Consider the following 21,132-nt stretch of genomic DNA (forward strand, 5'->3'; position numbering starts at 1 on the left):
TCAAAATTAGGAAGCACATGAGTTCAAAACTGAGTACCAGAATAATTAACTTACTTTTGATATCAAGTGGATAAAAATTAAGCTATTATGATGAGCATGTATGATATATTAATCCACAAATCATTAATAAAGTTATTAGTAATTTAATTTACCAAATTTATTTCTATCCCCAAAGGAATGGATTATAATAATAATTGGGATTTGTGACAGTTTACAACAAAGGTTATTTAGACAAGCTTAATAAAATGGAAAATAGAAATTCAAAATTATAGGCAGCCAGCCAACAAGTTAAGCTAACTGTGAAGATGATAACATTATTACAAATAATTAACAAATTTGGCTCTCAGCATCCATTGAACAAGGACAGAAAGGAAACATTTCTGTCATTTCACTTTCATTTCATTCTGTCATTTCATTTAAATTATCTCATAGAGGAAACATCAATTTTCTTTGAGGTTGCAATGTATTTCTGGGCACTAAATCTTTAAATAATGTTCTCAAGTAGAACCTTATCAAGAGTACTCCGAGTAAAGCAAAGGACAAAAAGTCTTCAATAACAGTATTGCTATCATTGGTGGTGGTGGTGGTGGTGCTTTTCACTTTGTTTCTTTTAGTCATAAATCTCAAAACCCATTGCCATTCCATAAATGTAAAATGTATTACACATAAATAAGGCAACATAACCATGCATTAGATTTCTGGTGGACTACCTTGCTCTAAGAGTAGGAAAAACATGTTTCTGAGACTACTTTCTTTAATTGCATATCATGTCTCTTCCATCAGGTTAAACGTAGAATCCAGAAAGATCATTATTGGCACTTATAGTATCCAAAAGGGTCTGGAGTGCTAAGATGCCATGTTGGCTACTGAAAACTACAAGAAGTAACCTTTAGAAATCTTACTAAAATTGCATCTATTATAAACCAGGCATCATTTGGGGCTACCCTGTCCCTCAAAGAGTTGTCAAGCTGGCTCCCCTGATTTCACTTCTATGTGAGTCCAGAATCCTCCATACATTTTTGGCATATTTCTGACCTGTCTGCTTTTCCATTCCTAATGAGATCTGCCATCTCAGTTTGACCCTGCACTATTTCCCATGAGAAAGCCAATGACCCTCATGAATACTGTGAGTTTAGTAAGTCAGCTCAGCTTGACAGTTACAGAAAGAGAGGTCGTTGTTCCCCACACAGCATTCTCCAGCCCACAGGCCTGCCTCCTGCTCCTCCACCTCTGAGAGAACCAAGACCCTTAAAAAATGTCCATGCCCACCATGGCCTACATCCACTGCATCTGGGAAATGTCCACGCCCACCATGGCCTGTCCACTGCTTCTTGGAAATGTCCACACACACCATGGTCTACATCCACTGCTTCTGGGAGATGTCCACGCCCACATGGCCTATGTCCACTGCTTCTGGGAGATGTCCACGCCCACCATGGCCTACGTTCACTGTTTCTGGGATATGGAGCAGCCCTACACTTTCACTCTGGAATTCAGCGGAATAACACGTCTGCTGTCTCACTACAACTTCTCACCCTGAAGAATTGGTGAGAAGAGCCATATTTATTTATGGCTGAGGCTTCTCCCCTAGGCCCAACCCCACAAGTGGTCTTACTTCTTTCCGGGAAAAACAATAATGGTTTCCGGAGCTTCTCCTCTCTTAAACCCAGAAGACCTCATCACTCTTCCTACTTCTATCCAGATGTTCATTTATTGGAAACTCCTGAGGGACAACCTGCGTGTAACAAGGTGGCTGCCTTAACCACAAATGAACCTGACAATTGATTTATGGAATCCGAGGCAGTTTAAATATTTTCTTAATCTATCTGACACGATGCTGAAGCCTTCCAAAGGGCAGGAGGTAAATAAATTCCTGTGTTTACACATGTTAGAGAGATCAGCTTCTCACAAGAGAATCACAGATGTGAGAATAATCACTGTTGGCAGGCTTGGGCCACCTTTGAGTCACCTCCTCACCAATGGTGAGAGGTACCTGTTCTTCCCCTCCTCCCTGCTCCTTCTTATATAGACAGCTTGGCAGTGGGAATGGAGACATGGAAAGCAATCATTCCCATATCAACCCACTGTTAATGTCTGAGCTGGTACCCTGGATTGACACTTTTGTTCAGTCTTACTCCCTCCTATTAACGAATTTCGTGCCCATCTTTTCCTCTTCCAAGATCAGTTTTATCAACCGTGAAATCTAGGGTGGCCAAAGTGGCATTTAAAGAGACCTTACCTCTCTTGGTCTGTGTTTCTCCAGTGATGCTTATCTACAAAGGGCTTCTTCCGCAACTAGCACTGACCATTAGTCTAATTTTTTAGGACACATGCTATGACATATTTTCTAATGGCCCATTGCAGGAGGCTCTCAAATAATAGTATGTGTGTAGTGACCCTTTCTTCTCTATTTTGTTTTATGAGCAGGAGCTGGACATTAGGATGCACACGAGTCCAAAATTTGGTATCAAAGTAATTAACTCACTTTTGAGTCCCAGCAACAACCACATGGCTGAATGAGTACTGTCAGACAATGTGGCCCAAATGTCACATACAGCCTTTCTGTCCCTTGAATATTAGCTCAACTTTGATCAAAATGCCCAGCTTCATAGCCCCTGTGAATTGAGCTCTCTCCCTATAATTTTTGTGGATTTTTTTTCTCAAAAAGGGTAACACTGATGTTTGTTGTGGACTCTTGACCTTAATTCCTCTGGTTGCTCTCAGTTCCTATATGGGGATCTGACACCCGAGTTCTGCCCTCTCACAAGTCACTGTACAGACCAAAAATATTTCACTGTTTTCCACAAGAAATGCAATTACATTCGTCAACTTAGTGAATTCAACAATGTGTCTGAAGCTCTAACAGGCTACAGAGAGTATCGTCCCTCACACAGCTTTCCCCATCTCACTGGCTCCCTCCATTAAGTTGATGTATAACCCTTCCTCACACAGTCTACCCATTGAAAAATAGGATCCAATCCACCTGCTTAATACTGTTTCTTTTTCAGGTAGCCACATCTCCAGGAAAGTCCATTTCCTCTAAGTCCCTTGGAATTTCAAAACTTAAAAATTTTCTTCAATCACCTACATTACGTTGTTGGGGAAATGCTCCTGCCAACAGCCAACACCTGAAGGGTCAAAGAAAGAAAAATTAAATGCAGTCATGCGCCACAAAATATTTTGCTCAGTGATGGACTGCATATGCCATGGTGGTCTCCTAAGATTGTAATAGAGCGATAAATTCCCATCACCTAGTACATTGTACGCATCATAACATCATAGCACAACACGTTATTCATGCTGGTGTAAACAAACCTATTGCACTGCCAGTTGTATAAAAGTATTACACATATAATCACACACAGTACATAATACTTGATATGATAATAAATGTCTGTGTTACTGGTTTATGTATTTACTATGTAGTTTTATACCTTTTTAGAGTGTATGCCTACTTATAAAAGAAAAGTTAACTGTAAAACAGCTTCAGGCAGGTCCTCCAGGAGGTATTCTAGAAGAAGGCATTGTTATCATAGGAGATGTCAGCTCCATGAGTGTTGTTGCCCCTGAAGTCCTTCCAGTGGGACAAGATGTGGAAGTGGAAGACAGTGATATTGATAAATCTGGCCCCATGTAGGCCTAGGCTAATGTTTGTGTCTTAGTTTGTAACAAAAAAGTTTAAATGCTAAAAAATAAATTTTTAAAAATAGAAAAAAAGCTTATAGAATAAGGACATAAAGGAAGAAAGTATTTTATACAACTCGGCAATGTGTTTGTGTTTTAAGCTAAATGTTATTACAAAAGAGTCAAAAGGCTAAAAAAATAAAAATTTTATAAATTAAAATGTTACAGTAAGTTAAGGTTAATTTATTATTTAAGAAAAAATAGTTTTGGCCCCATGCAGTGGCTCACGCCTGTAATCCCAGCACTTTGGGAGGCCGAGGCAGGTGGATCACAAGGTCAGGAGATCGAGACCATCCTGGCTAACACAGTGAAACCCCATCTCTACTAAAAAATACAAAAAATTAGCTGGGCGTGGTGGCGGGCGTTTGTAGTCCCAGCTACTTGAGAGGCTGAGGCAGGAGAATGGCGTGAACCCAGGAGGCAGAGCTTGCAGTGAGCCGAGATGGTGCCACTGCACTCCAGCCAGGGCAACAAAGTGAGACTCCGTCTCAAAAAAAAAAAGAAAAAATAGCTTTTAATGAATTTATTGTAGTTTTAATGTACAATGTCTATAAAGCTTACAGTAGTGTGTAGTAGTGTCCTAGGTCTTCACATTCACACACTGCCTCACCCAGAGCAACTTCCAATTCTACAAGTACCATTTATGGTAAATACCCTACACAGGTGTACGATTTTTAATTATTTAAACTGTATTTTTACTATGCTTTTTCTATGTTTAGATACACAAGTACTTAACATTGTGTTACAGTTTCCTACAGTATTCAGCACAGTAACATGCTGTACAGGTTTGTAGCCTAGGAACGATAAATTATACCATATAGCCTAGGTATATAGTAAGCTATACAACTTAGGTTTGCATAAATATACCCTATGATGTTCGCACAACAACAAAGTCACCTAACAACATAATTCTCAGAATGTATTCCTGTCATTAAGCAACACATGACTATGTACACAACAAAGTAATTTTTTAAAAATAATACATGTTTCTTAGAAGGACTGTTAGTATATAGCTCTTGACAAAGATTAGTTATAATATCAGTTACTATTTCTATTTAACAAATGAGTATCTATTATGTTCAGGCACAGTACTGTGTGTTAACAGTTCAATAGAAAACAGAGTCCTTCCCTTATGGAGCTGACAAACTAAAAGGAAAAACAAATATTACCAAAACATGTGATGACTATTATTTTAAAAATAAGTAAATTTTTCATCATCAGAATTGAAGTTTTTACATTGGAAGGAAATACTGGTAATGTTATATTAAAAAAAAAAAAAAACACCCTGGATTCCATCTTAGAAATAGAAAAGAGGCCAGCTGTGGTGGCTCACGCCAGTAATCCCAACATTTTGGGAGGCAGAAGCGGTCGGATCGCCTAAGGACAGGAGTTCAAGACCAGCATGGTCAACATGGCGAAACCCCATCTTTACTAAATAGACAAAAATTAGCCAGGCGTGGTGGTGCATGCCTATAATCCCAGCTACTCGGGAGTCTGAGGCAGGGAGAATTGCCTGAACCTGAGAGGCGGAGGTTGCAGCAAGGCTGAGATCGTGCCACTGCACTCCAGGCACTCCAGGCTGGGCAACAGAGCAAGACTCTGTCTCAAAACAAAACAAAAAAAAATAGAAAAGAAAAGGTGACTTTTAAGAGCTTCAGTGACTCGTAGAAAAATATCAAGGAGTCTGATTTTTTGTTGTAGTCTGTTTTGCATTGCTGTAAAGGAATACCTGAGGCTGGGTAACCTATAAAGAAAGGTTGATTTGGCTCACAATTCACAGGCCGTTCAATAAGCTTGGCACCAGCATCTGCTTCTGGCAGGGAACACAAGAAGCTTTCAAGCATGGTGGAAAGGGAAGGGGGAGCTTTCATGTCCCATGGAAAGAGGGGGAGGAAGAGAACAGGGAGGAGGTGCCAGACTCTTTTTCTAACAACCAGTTCTGGGGGGATCTAAGAGAAGAACTCACTCATTATCATGGTGATGGTAGGGAAGGCACCAAGCCATGCATGAGGGATCCAACCCCCTGACCCAAATACCTCCCACCAGGTTCCACCTCCAACGTTGGCAATCAAATTTCAACACAAGATTTAAAGGAGACAAATATCCAAATGATGTCAAATACATACATAATTAAAGTCACAGAAGAGAGAAATATTGGAATAGAAAAAATTTTTTTAAGAAATATGGTGGCAAATGTTCCAAATTTGACCATAAATATCCACAAACAGATTGAAGAAGACCCAAACAGGATAAAAACAAAGAAAACCAAACCTAGGAACATAATAGACAAATTGCTGAAAACCAAAGGTAAAGAAAAAAACTGAAGAACAGAGTTGGGTCCTATAAAAAAAAAAAAAAAGAAAGAAAAAAGAAACTAAGTACAGTAAAGAGGACATGTTGGCTCTTTCAAAGCAAGAAGATCAAAGTAAAATAAGTTCCTATGCTTTTGAAGTATGTGTTGACACCAGAGAAAATGAAATTATTCAATTTTTATCTTGCATATACATTATCAAGGGGAATTAGATGCAAACTGAAAGTGAAGCATAAAGCTCATTAGGATTCGTAGAAGACTAAAGACATAATTGTCCATCATGTCTTAATATTATGGCATAACTTTCAGAAGGCAATCTTATGTGTATGGGTCTTTTTAAGTATATATAGGTAAATTATCTGTCATCCTGAAATTTAGCCTATGGAAATAATCTAATTGTCTAAGCAGAAGAGAATGATTAAGTAGAATTGTGGTTGAACCACAGGACAGAATGTTATGCATCATTGTAAAAGATGCTTCAAAAGTATCTATAATAACATAAGAAAGCTTTTATTATAATTTAAAGTAGAAAATAGCAAGGTATACAGCTGTATATGTAACATGATTGTAACTACTTTGGTGGAAGATTAAAGCATGTAAAAATACTGAAAAGAAAACAACAAAATGCTAAATAGCAACAGTTTTTTAATGGGGGTTTAAAGTGCTGTTTTACTTTCTAGTTCTGAGTCCAAATGTTTTCTATTATAAAAATATATTATCCTTACAGTCGTAAGAAGATAATGTTTAAAAGAAATTAAGTATATTATTTTGTGAAGTACTAGATTTTCTATCACATGATTAATTGAAGATATTTGACTGTCAGCCTGTAATAAACAGGGTTCCTTTACTGGAAAGAAAGATATACATAAGGATCTAAGCCCTCCCAATTCTGAGATACCATTAACTCTGATTATTCCATATTTTAAAATTTATAAGTAATTTGGCAATTGAAAAAATGGTAGTAATTATTTTCTTCTATTCCAAAATTATAGATCAGTCAATAACTTTTTAAAGAAACATACTTTATAAAACGAGATTTTCAAAATCAGAAAGGTCCTCATTTGGCCATGCCATCTCTCTGCAGTTCCTGCTTCTGAGCTTTTTCTTCGTGAATAGCAGCTAAGTTTTTCAAAGTTTGACTCTATACATTTGCCCCTATTAACTGGCTAATATTTAATACCTAGAGTCTGTGTTTACTGAATTATCCGGTCTAATAATAGATGTAGTTTGGTTTACTCAAACTGAATTGAAAATAACTATGAATTCAACTAATTTGTCATATTTTTGGTTTAATCAAATAGCCTGTATGCAATCAATAAATTGATCCAAAAATGTGATCAAACTTGTGTTAAATCTGGTTAAAATTGTACTCTGAAACAAAAGGCCAGTGGGTCTCTGTGGCAGAATGAATTTTGGTGCCTCACCCAGGTTTCCTTTACTAGGGCATACAATATACTCTCAAAGAAACCAACTAACTACCTACTGGTAAATTGGTGGCATCAGACATCTCCCATTCTGGAAAGGGAAGCAGAGCCTTCTAACCAGGATTGATAAACAGTACAGGTTTGCCCTTGTCACCCATAGGTACTGAGCTAGCACCACTATCAAAGGGTTCACGGAATGTGTGATCTACAGTCGTGGAATCTATGTAGTATCACTCCAGATCGAAGGACCCACTTTATGGCTAAAAGGTGTGGCAATGGGCATATCTATGTGGGGCACACTGTCCTAACACTTTCTACATCATAAAGAAGCTCCCATCCAAACAGAGTGATGAACCCATCTCTTAAAGATGTAGCTGAGACACCAGCTTGAAGATGAGATCCTATGAGGATAGGTGCTATTCTTCAGGATTTAGTAAATTTCTTCAATGAATGTCCATTACGTAGTGCTATGTCTCCAATAGATAGAATACCTTTGAGCAGTTATCAAGTAATGGAAAGGTAGAAGTAGCTCCATTCACCTCACTTCTGATGACTCACTTAAAGAATCTGTGTTTCTCATCCCCCTATGTATAAGGCCTAGGAGTCTAGAGGTTCTGATTGCAAGATGGGGAAAATGCCCACCCAAAGGACACAGCAAAACTCCAACTAAAGTCAAAGCAATGACTACCACCTAGTCACATTTGGCTTTTTATGTTAATAGGCCATTAGGTAGAAAAAGGAGCTACTCTTATGGCCAGGAAAATTAACCATCATCATCATGAGGAAGTAGAACTGTCACTTAATAATGAGAACATAAATTAATATGTCTGGTCACCTGCCGGTACATCTCTTGGTACATCCGTGCCCATTTATTACTATAAATGGGCAAGTTTAACAACCCCAGTTTCACAAAGGCATGCTAACTGGGAACTCAGGCCCTGCAGGGATGAAGGCTATATAAACCCAAAATGCAAGCCACCTAGACATCAGCTGGAAGTGCCAGCTGAGGGTAGGAGGATCAGAAATACGTAATACAGAGGGGAGATGATGAGTATCAATTGCAGTAGTGGGGGTTGTAGTTTATCTCATCAATCCTTCTATTACATTTCCCTAGGAATTGTGATCTCAGGATTCACATGTTTGAAGTGAATTTAATATGCGATGCAAGTGGACCTGGGGAGGGGTGGACTGTGAGGGTGCTGTTTTGATACCCCACCGACATCTCCTTAACCCTTCTTAGCCAGATCAGAGGATCCATCTCTCAGCTGCTGTGAGTTTTGGCTGCCAAGGACACACGGTTGCCCACCCGCTTCTCTGAAGATCACCCTCTATGAATAGGAACTGCCTCACCAGGTGTATGACAGACACACCTGACAGCGATAACTTAAGCATAACCTGAGAATGAATGACCCAATGGCCTAAGAAGACTGTGTGTTTGGAGTTCTGAGCTATGAAATCAGGAATGGCCAACCTGGAGGTTCATTCCTTATCTATGAGGAATATCTGAACCCCCGGCCCATGCTGTGGAATGCAGACTGCACAGGGATTGAGGCCCTTTGTTCTAGGTTAAAGGAAGGTTGCCAGGTGGAGGTTGCTAGGAGGAGGGTGCTATGTGAAAATGCTCTATAAACCGCATGTTTTTACAAGTGGTAGTGGTTCTTCTGTCCAGCCCACCACCACTGGGCTGCCCTGTAATTTACCTCAAAAAACCATATGTCTCTTTCACTGGCTCCAGGTCTTTTTTCAGCCTCTTGAACTTGATGCCATCCCTGTTGAAGTTAGTAGGGGTTCAACATGGCACCAGGGAAGAACTGCATAAATCTCCCCTACCTCCTAACCCCATGCATCCCACAACATGTGACTGACTGAACTGAAGGTACTAAATACTGCCACCCCTGCCTCAAAGGGAGACAACTTCACAGCCTGTCCCTGAGGATCCGTTTTACTTGAGACCACACCATCACTCCACTTTTTCCTCTTCTCCATCCTGCTTCACTCTCAACCTCACAGATTGTTCTGAAAATCGCTTCCTCAACAAATCATGTGCCATGATTACAACTACCATATCAAAGGCTCTGCTCCTAAGGAACAGGAACTAAGATAACCTCAAACTTTATTTTGTATAAGAATCGGTAATCAATAGGAGGGTTAATTGAAAATGCAGATTCTTTGACCTTACCTCCGAAGAAGTGAATACACACATGGTGTGCCTGGAGTTGGGTATTTTCAAGAACTCTGAATATGGATTAAACACAGCAGTCTACTGACCACTCTGAAATCCACTGGTCTAGATCATCAGTACACACTATCGACAAAGGAAAGCTCTAAGCACCACAGACATGGCAATGCTCTCAAGTCAATGCTGAGCATAAGTTTCTCTGCATTTACTCTTGGGTCTTCCATATTCTAACATGTAACAAACCTCTAACCTCAACTTTGGGATATGACATTCACTCTACTCATGTTTACGACTTCAAAATGTTAATAAAACATGATAAGTGCAAAAGTCAAAATAAAGTAGGAGAGGTGGCATGAAAGTAATGGACTGCACATTCTTAATTTAAATCATATATATTTATTCACTCACTCAGTAACTGAATCCTAACCAAATGAATTTGTAATATATTCCAGTCTAGTTTTGTTAGGATTTGTGCCTTATGTATAATGTGAAAACAAATAAAATATATTGCTAGGTCAACTTGTATTATTCATGCATATAAAGTTCTGTGTATCTGCCCACACAATTGAGAAGATGCATTACGAAGTCTATTACAATAACCAAAAAAAGGTTATTTGAGTCAAATCAAAACAATAAATAGGCTAGAGAAAAACTGTAAAATATTTGTTTTACACTTTTCTCCAGTGACACATAAAACATTATCTTCTTCTCTAAGCAATTATGAACATTTCTACTCTGTCATATGGCATAAAGTGGAGATTTGTTTAAAATCATTTATGTCTGTAAAGTCACACAAGCTTCCTTGTACTTCAGAGAAAGTATATTTTTGATCACTTCAATTGTTAAGAGCTCACAGTTCTTATTTGTAGTTATACTCAGATACATGAAAATATAGAAGCGGTCTTAACCAACCTCTAATTAACTAATCTATCAGATTCACTACACATTCCATTCCCTCTATGAAATAGTCCAGCAGTTATTGACAGTATGCAGAATACTCTCGAATGTTAGGTTTCTCTCTACTATGCCCATCCATTTCCTCTCCTCCAGGTGGGTGGTACAGTCCGTGAAGAGTTAGTTGTGCGCCAGGCACGGTGACTCATGCCTGTAATTCCAGCACTTTGGAGGGTCGAGATGGGAGGATCACTTGAGCCCAGGAGTTCGAGATCAACCTGGGCAATTCAGTGAGACCTTGTCTCTAAATTTAAAAAAATAAAATAAATTAAAAGAGTTAGTTGTTTATATTCACAAGGCTTGTCTGTGATCTCAGTTTTTATTGTATTATTTAATGTTATTACATCAACCTCTAAACACAAGTTCTAAAACAGATGTTTCTTTGAAAACTGAGATGAATACTTTGAAGAGACGTGCTAATGTAAAGCTTCTTTTAAAAATACTCTGAATGCCGGGAGCAGTGGCTCACACCTGTAATCCCAGCACTTTGGGAGGCCGAGGCAGTAAGATCACTTGAGGTCAGGAGATCAAGATTATCCTGGCCAACATGGTGAAACCCTGTCTCTACTAGAAATACAAAAATTAGCCAGGCATCGTGGCGTGTGCCTATAGTCCCAGCTAGTTGGGAGGCTGAGGCAGGAGAATGTCTTGAACCTGGGAGGCAGAAGTTGCAATGGGCAAAGATCGCGCCACTGCACTCCAGCCTGGGGGACAGAGAGAGACTCTGTCTCAAAAAAAAAAAAAAAACACTCAGAAATTATAGAGAATTATGAAACGAAAAGAAAAATAGGAAAATTCTAAGAGAATTTTGTGCTCTCTCAAATTGCTTTCCAGAGGTCTTTAACTTTTTGCTCTTTCTTAAAGAATCCCAAGCTTGGAATTATCAAGGACCCAATATCAGTGTGGTGTGCACAAGAAATCCTGGCCCTGCAATGAGAATCATACACAAAGGATAGACCTCAGCTCCATCTTACTGGTCAATGAATTCACAAGTATGCACATTTATATATGGAGTTTTAAAAGATCGTTAAACCTTTAATCAATGTTCAATAATGTCCTGCTTTAAGTGATTCTTTTTTCCAATTAACTCCCAAATGAGCAGTCTTAATCACAGCCCCATTAAAAGCTTCTACCATACCAGCTGGCCCTGACAATATAGTCAAGATGAGAAATAAAGTTATACAACTTTTCAAATTTTTTAATAAAAAAGTCAAAATAGAGATGTATTCATGGCAGTTCTCTCTTTTGCTTTTACATTAACAGATAAAATTGTGTGTATTTACTGTGTACTACATAATATTTTGTATATATACATTGATGGATGATTAGATTTAGCTAATTAATGTATGCATAACCTCACATACTTATTTTTACGGTGAGAATACATCCACTTTCATAGCATTTTTCAAGAATTTAACACATTATTGCACAATAGATCTCTTGTGCAATTTATTCCTCCTGTCTAACTGAATTTTGTATATTTTGACCAACATCTTCCCAAGCCCCACCCCCAACCACCCTAGCCTCTGGTAACCATTATTCTATCTACTCTCTACTTCTATGAGATAAACATTTTTAGATTCCATGTTTGAATGAGATTATGTGGTGTTTGTCTTTCTATGCTTGGCTTATTTCACTTAGCATAGTGTCCTTCAAGCTCATTCATTTGCCATAAATGATAGGATTTCCTTCTTTATGATTGAATAATATTTCACTGTGTATATACACCACATTTTCTTTAATTATTCATTCATTGACAGACACTTAGATTGATTCCATGTCTTGGCTGTGAATAATGCTGCAATAAACACAGAAGTGCAGATATCTCTTCTACGTACTGATTTCATTTCCTTTGCATATATACTCAATAGTGGGATTGCTAGAGCACATGGTAGTTCTATTATTAATGTTTCGAGGAAACTCCATACTGTTTTTCATAATGGATGTACTAATTTACATTCCCACCAACAGTGTGCAAGGGTTCCCTTTCCTCCACATCCTCACCAGCATTTATCTTTTGTCTTTTTAATAACCGCCATTCTAACAGGTGTGCTATCTCATGGCAGTTCTTTTAAACAGCTTAACTACATAGAGGGTAAAGCAAACACTGAGAGGTTCCACGGAGCTGGAGAGAGTCGAAAGTTAATCTTTCATGTGAAGATGCATAAAGGTGCATGATTAAGGGTTTGTTTGTTTTTTAATGCAGGCACCTTGTTTAGGAGGCAAAATTTGTGAGGAAAAGCAAACAACACTTCTCTGAGAAGACAGGTATGTCATTCAGACCTGGATTTCTATAGTTCAAAGAGCATTTAGATGAGAACAAACCGTACAGTTAGAGATCGGTCAAATAACCTTTTATCGCATTAGAATTTGATGTTACTTCAAAGAACAGCGCAGTTTGCACATTTACACGGCCTTCTTTAGGTACATGGTTGTTGATTCGGTTTAAGGAGGAAAGGCGAAAAGAAGGGAATTCAGAGAAGCAACCACATTCCAAGCACTGTTAGGTGCTCCATCTACATTAAGGTATTTAATGTATCTCTATTCTTTACAGCTGAAAAAAGTAACACCAGCTGCAATTACTCTCCCCAGTCATATAACTTGAAAATATTTGTTTCAGGATTAGAACCCAGGAGTTTTAACACAACATCCTGTGCTTTTTTTCCAATATACTCCTCCACTGAATTCGTTGATTTTCTATCTACTCCTTTTCTACTTCTTAAAGAAAGAGATTTTGAAAACATGTGGCTTCAAACTGTGCTTCCATCATAATGAGACATTGTACAAACCACTGAAATTTTTTAAGCCTACTTGATTGCTGCTTTTTAAAACAAAATAATCAAAACATAAAAAGGGTAGAGAAAAAGTAATAACACAGTGTACCCAATGCACAATTTTGTTATATTTGTATCAGATCTTTTTTAGTCACTAAATAAACATTACATAGATTTGAAGCCCCTTCTCTCTCTAGAGATAACCACTTTCCTGAAGTTTAAATGTATCACTCCCCTCCATTGTTTTATATTATATATAATATAAATATAAGTAATATTTGTAAGAGTACTATAAAAATAGCATATATAGTACTAAAATAAATATATATATAACAGTACTCTATATAGTACTGTTTGTGTGTTTAAATTTTCCATACATGATATGCTGTACTTACCATTTTGTGATTTTTTTAATTCAGTATGACATTTTCAAGATTTTTTTTTTTTTTTTTTTTTTTTTTTTTTTGAGACAGAGCCTCACTCTGTCTCCCAGGCTGGAGTGCTGTGGTGCAATCTGAGCTCAACCTCTGCTGCCTGGGTTCAAGCGATTCTCGTGCCTCAGCCCCTCAAGTAGCTGGAATTACAGGCCATGTTGGACAGGTTGGTCTTGAACTCCTAACCTTCAGTGATCCGCCTGCCTTGGCCTCCCAAATTGCGAGGATTACAGGTGTGCACCACATGCCTGGCTGGATTTATCCATGTTAATGAATACATATGTAGTAATGTATATAGTTAATTTCAACATTATTTCCTTGTATCAAAATTTATTCATAAATCTGTTCATAGATATTTAAGTAATTTCCAAAATATAGTTTTTAAAAACCATGCTGCAACAAACAGCATTGCACACTTAGTCAAACACTTCTTTAAGACAGAATGCCGAGCTTCATCTCAGCCTTTCCAGATCATAATCTCCAGGGATAAAACTGGGAAGATGTATGTTTCACAAGTCCCCCACTCAGCCATTCTGAGTGATTCTTAACCTCAGGGAAGCTTTGGGAAAACCACTTTAGACAGAAGTAAAACTTGCATCATAGTACGTGCTCATCTTCCACTTTTCAAGATATTGCCAAATTGTTCCCCAAAGTAGAATAATTTACATGCCCACAAACAGGATATGATTGTAATTTCCCCACATCATTGTCAACACCTATCATTGTCAAAGTTTAGGTCTTTGCCAGTCTGGTAGAAGTAAAACAGTATTTCATTGTTGTTTTAATTTTCAAGTTGCTTTCTGTTTACCTGTAAAATTGAGCAAACTTTTACCCATAATTGGCTATTTGAATGTTCTCTGTGAATTGTTTGCCTCTTTTCTAGTGAGTTTTCTCTTATTGATTTGTAGGAATATATATTCTGGAAACTAAAAAGTTGAATATTACAAAGCTTAATAAAATAAAAATGAAAAATCCTATGCCCACCCATATCACTCCTGAATTTTTCTCTTGAGAATGAATCATTTTATATAATTTTAGTGCTTTTTATAATATTTATCTTCATATTTCTAAGAAATATAATTATATATGTGGTTATTATTGATTTCCTATATGGAAGGTAAGGGTTTAGCATTCTTGCAACATTACCTTATCCTCCCAATAAAATTATAACTTGATTTCTTCTTAAAAATATTATACTTTAGAATGTTATGATCATATAAATATTGATCACTGTCTAGATCATTACTACTATTATCATATTTTCTTTTCTTTTCTTTTTTTTTTTTTTTTTTAGAGACAAAAGCCTCACTCTGTTGCCCAGGCTGGAGTACAGTGGCAGGATCATGGCTTGCTGCAGCCTCTATCTCCTGGGCTCAAGTGATCCTCCTGAATCAGCCTCCCCAAGTAGCTGGAACTACAGGTGTGTGCCACTACACCCGGGTGATGGCTAACTTTTTTTTTTAAGAGATTAGGTCTCACTATGTTTCCCAGGCTAGTCTCTAACTCCTGGACTCAAGGAATCCTCTCACCTCAGACTCTCAAAGTGCTGGAATTATAGGTATGAGCCATTGTACTCAGCTGTATTTCCTTTTTTTTTAAAAAACATAACTTTTGTCTTCCTGGAGTTAATAATTGCTTAATTTCTACGTATAGTAGAATATATATGCTTTCCTTTCATTAATTCTCTATAAAGTTTCCCACCTCTCTCAGTACTATTTTCTACATAAATATATCAAATGATCTTCCTTTTTCTTCTGCACCCCTTTGTGCTTCTGCTCCAGTTTGGACTTCTCATTGTTTTAACTGGGTACACAGCTCTCTGTCTGGAACCCCTTATTTTTACCCTGGGAATTCCCTTTGCTACTCCACTCTGTGAAATCCTCTGGGTTTGGGGATTCTGCCTTGTTTTTTCATGTATTTTATTATTTTAGTGGAGCACATCCTCTAGTACCTTTGTGAGATATTTTTTGACATCTTTCAAATCTGAAAATGTTTATTCCATTCTCAAAAGTAATATATGCATACAAACCCATAGTTTGGTATACAATTCCGAGGTGAAAATTATTTTTCCTCCTATTTTGGCAGTTTTTCTCCTTTTTGGCCTGGCTTCCGAAGTTGTTGTTGAAGAGTCTAATATAATTATCATTCACAGTCCTCCATATTTAACCTGTTTTTCTTTTCTCCTCTAAGGGCTTTTAAATTATTTTCTTATCCCCAGTGTTCTGAAATTTCGTAGTAATGTTTGTGCCTTTTTTGGTCTTTTGTTTGTTCATGATGCTAATCACTTAGGATGGCTGGCTTGGGCCCCTTTAAATGTAGAAATTTAAGTTCTTTAATTCTGAAAAATCATTTGTGTTATTTGGTTGATAATTTTATACTCTCCGTTTTCTCAACACATGTGCTCTCTCTCTCTCTCTCTCTGGAATTTTGGTTCATTTTATATGGGAACTCATGGGATGATCTCCTAATATTCTTATTTGCCGATATAACAGAATACTATAGACTTAGTTGCTTAATCAACGAATATTTATTTCTCACAGTTCTAGAAAGTGGGAAGCCCAAGATTAAGGTGCTGGTAAATCCATTGTCTGATGAGGGTCTGCTTCCTGGTTTGCTGACAACAACCTTATCGTTGTATCCTCATATGGTAGAGACAGAGACAAGAAAGAAAGAGTGGAAACAAGCTCTTTCATCTCTTCCTATAAGGGCATTAATTCTATTTATGTGGGCTCCACTGTTGTGACCTAATTACCTCTCAAAGGCACCAACTCCTAATACCATCAGATTGAGAGTTAGAATTTCAGCATATGAATTTTGGGAGCATGCAAACATTCAGTCCACAGAACATACATTTATATGAATATATATTCACACACACATACACTTCCAAGAACTCTTTCTTGTTCTTTATTCCTTTGATGGTATTCTCTTCTTGTTTCATGAATGCAATATCTTCTCATCTTTCTGATTTTTTCTTATACATCCTGCTTTGCATATATTTCCTCCAAAGTATTGTTCCCATGTTTGTTTTTGTCTCTATCTTTGATGATAGAGGCTTTCCTTAAATGTATAATAAAGGTCGATTGTGAATTACTAAAAAGCTGCTTAGAAAGTTTGTGCAAGTGGATAAGGCTTATAGACTTCTAAGGTTGCATTGTGGAGTAATTTTATTTAGGAGAACCAAATATCAGTGTCTATATCTATTTTCTTTGCTACCGTTCAGTTTGTCTGGAAGTATAAAAACCTGGCTTTCAAAATTCTGGATACCAATTGAGGGTGGTGGTTGGATGCAGGGGGTAACCACCTGGGTGCAGCGGGGCTGGAGTCTCTCAATTCATCCAATATAATTTAATTTAACCCTTCTGTTTTCAACAAAGAGCCTTAAGATGACCCTCTGCTGTGCCAGAGACTACTCTGGAGAATAAAACGCATGTCTCTTGCCATCGTCCAAGAAACAGTTATCACGCAATATGGGGTAAGATTGGGAGTCAAGGGAATAAGTGCTCCTTGGATAGACTTTCAGTGAAGTCTCCTATGCTCAGCTCTAATCTCATTCTTTCTAGTCCCAAAAGCCTCTCTTTCCTAAGCCCTTCTAGGGTTCTGTGAAGGGAATCAGCCTGTTTCTCTGGGAAATCTTCTCTCCAGGCAGTCGAGTTTCAGTTTTCTCTACTCTCCTACATCAGTTACCTCTCCTACACTGGTTTTACATTTTCCCAAAATGTGAAGTTGTCTCTTGTCCTTGGCCATTTCCTAACTCTGTTTTTGTGGATCTTGTAGGAGAGGGTATAGATAAATGCTAAGTTTATCTTTACTTACCTGTCACCTTTAAGTGGAAATCCATTACAGGTATCTTCTCCTAGCCTATAATTAGTCTTTGGAGTTGATCTTGTTCTCTTATAAAATGAGCATAACAATAATAATAGCAATAACAATACTCATTCATCTTCTTTAGGGTGTTCTTGTGAGGCTCCAAAAGAAGCAAATGTATGAGACCACACTTTGTAAACTGCAATGTGCCATATGAATTCTACTTGCTATTACAAATATTAACGTTAATCTAGTGGAGAAGAGGAAACCTATGAAAAGCTAATTGTGTATAACTTTATAAATAATAAGAACAATGATGGAGATATGTGTGTGCAATTATGGAAGCAGAGACGTGTGAGTGAATACCTGGTGATGGAACCAGTGAATGAATATGTCAACCCAGTTTGGATGTTTGTGAATGGCTTCTTGAGAGTATCAAGACTGAGTTAATATTTAAATGCATCAGAGGTTATTGTTTATCTCGTTCTTTAACAAAAGACTGAATAATTCTGATTAGTTGTACATAAAAAGGGCCAAAGAAGATCACAAACCTATTCCCTTCTCTAAATGAAATCATCTGTTCATTCACCCAGGTCACCAAGGCACATTGCCTCAAGGAATTTAAGTTGGAGAATATATTTTTATAACAGAGAAAATAAGGTAGATAATAGAAATAAAAGTTCTGATTGTGCAGATAAATATTAAATTTGTAATAAGGAGACTTGATCTTCCCAAAGGGATAGTGAAATAATATCCTTTCCTTCAGAAAAGCTTCTGCTACTTTCCAGACATTTTCACAAAGAGAATCTCACTTAATCCTCACCATAGTCCTTTAAAATATCTAGATTCAATCCTGTTTTTCAGATAAGAAATTGAGGGATCAAAAAGCTAAGTTATCTGTCAGATTTAGAGTCAGATTTTGAATCCAGATCTCCAAATGCCAAGGAAAATGTTTGATGGATTGCCCTACTCCAAGCACCGGCCACCAGTCGTCTCTCGCAACTATCTCTCATGATGGAAATGGATTGAGGCACATACTAGGGTGAAGGATCAAAGTGGGGACCACTCACAGACCAGGGGATCATTGGCAGATGTCCCGTGGCATATGCCAGCACATTCTGTCAGTCCCTTGAGGGTACCAGAGCACCAGGCAATCAAAATGACAGGTTGTACAAAGATCCACACTCCTTACAAATGGTCTTCCTTTTCCTTTTGTTTCATTCCTTCTGAGCAGCTGGTATCTTTCAGCAAACTATCGGTATTATATTTAAGACATAGTACATCATTAAAATAAAGCTTGGGGCTAATAATTATGTCTTGTTCAGGTGTTTTATGACTAAAGATTCTGACTTTCCCCCCAAGGTTTCCAACTCACTCTTTTCCAAATTGCTTCTCTCAGGACATTTGTTACATTGTGGACGTGTCCGCAACAATTAAATAGCAGTTTAATCCTCCCTTTGCAGATCTTTCTTTTTGAGGTAGTGTCCTGGAGCCTAAGCTGCTTGCACTTTCAAGGTGGTATTTATGGAGTCCTCAGTTGGCTGTGCAGGTGTGGCTGCACACACGAGTTTATCAAAGTGGAAAGCTGTCTCCCCACCCTCGTATTGCTCACACGTCATCGTCTCATTTATTCATCAACAATACTGCTGACTCCCCCTCATCCTGCCTCCATCTCAACCATTGTTCAGCAGTTACTAAGACACTCAAAATGTCAAACAGGACCTATAGTAGACAAGCATTTGATCTCTTATCCTCAGCTATTTTATCTTTTGGGGTTGATAATAGTACCCACCACTCAGAATTATTATGAAGATCAAATAAAGTCAAGTATGTAAAATTACCTTGTAATTTGTAAAAAAAAAAAAAAAAAAGAACAAGAAAAAAGAAAGAAAGAAAAGAAAAAGTAGCACTTTAGAGTTGGCAAAAAAGCGTTTTTATATAGATGACCTCATTTAATATCCTTCATGAGCTTGTGAATTCTGTTACTTTATAGTGGAGGAGAAAACTCTTCGGTATAGGTTGGTGCAAAAGTAATAGTGATTATTATTATTTAAAGATGCAACTACTTCTGCACCAATCTAATAGATTACATTTAAAATGGAAGCCTTTCTTTGACCTTTTGGTCTGGACTATGGCTGTACAGTGTAGCAAAGCAAAAGGAACATGGCGGGGCAACTTTCTAGGCAAACACAGCAGGAGCACTACATTTACTTTAAGGGCCCTGGAAAGAGGACTCCAAATCAGCATTTCTACTCACATTGAAATCCAGGTCTATGTAAGTATTCTTTCACGAATTATTACTTGTTAAATTGCTTAGCTTTCCTACTGTTTCACATTCACCAAAAGCATTGTGATCCAAACATTCAAATCAACGCCCTTTACAGAAATCCTCCTAGGTTGTATCTTAGTCCATTTTCTGTTACTATAACAGAATTCCTACAAGTGGGTAGTTTATAAAGAAAATAGGTTTATGGTCAGGTGGGTGGCTCAGGCCTGTAATCCCAGCATTTTGGGAGGCTGAGGCGGGCGGATCAGGAGGTCAGGAGATCCAGACCATCCTGGCTAACACGGTGAAAGCCCATCTCTACTAAAAATACAAAAAAATTAGCTGGGCATGGTGGCACACATTTGTAGTCCCAGCTACTCAGGAGGCTGAGGCAGGAGAATCGCTTGAACCCGGGAGGTGGAGGTTGCAGTGAGCAGAGATCGTGCCACTGCACTCCAGCCTAAGTGACAGAGCAAGACTGTTTCAAAAAAAAAAAAAAAAAGAAGTTTATTTTGGCTTATGGTTCTGAAGACCAGAAAGTCCAAGATCAGGCGGCTGCATCTGTCCTGCTTCTGGTGAGGGCATTATGCTGCATCATAACATAGTGGGAAAGTGGTAGGGGAAGTGGGTGCATGAGAAGGGGGCAAAACAGAAAGGGGTGGCCTCACTTGATAACAATTTGCTCTTGTATAATAGTAACAAATCAGTCCTGCAAGAGTGAGAATTCACTCATTCCCTCAAGATTTAACCCAGTCCCAAAGAACAGCATTAATCCTCCTTAATGACCTAATCACCTTTTAATGGTCCCACCTCCCAACACCACCACACTGGGGTGGTGAACTGTGGGCACTTTCCAAATTTCCAACACATGAATTCAGGGGGAACACACTCAAATCATAGCAGGTTGTTTCCACTCAGATCACTCTAGTTAGATATTCAGTCACAAATAGCTGAACTACTTTGATCTTTTGGTTTGCCATCAGAAATAATCACCTTGCTATAAACATCCACATCTCAAAGCCGCATACATAAAACTTTTTTCATGTGATATATTTGATATATTTTTTGTATAATTTAGAATTTTCAAGGAATTTTTACTTTGGACCATTCATTAATTCTTTTATCAAATATATTCAGCCTCTTTTAAGAGCAAGTGCTTTCCTGTGGTCTGACGATTCAGAGGTGAGTATAACCAAGTCCTTTGCAGCCCTCACAGGACTTGAAGTTTAGTAGAAGTATCAGTTTTATCTGTCAAGAGACATTCCTCTCCACTCACCTGACTGGCTTAATCACCAGGTT

Source organism: Homo sapiens, chromosome 13 (genome assembly GCF_000001405.40).
Source record: "Homo sapiens chromosome 13, GRCh38.p14 Primary Assembly".
NCBI classification, from domain to species: Eukaryota; Metazoa; Chordata; class Mammalia; order Primates; family Hominidae; genus Homo; species Homo sapiens.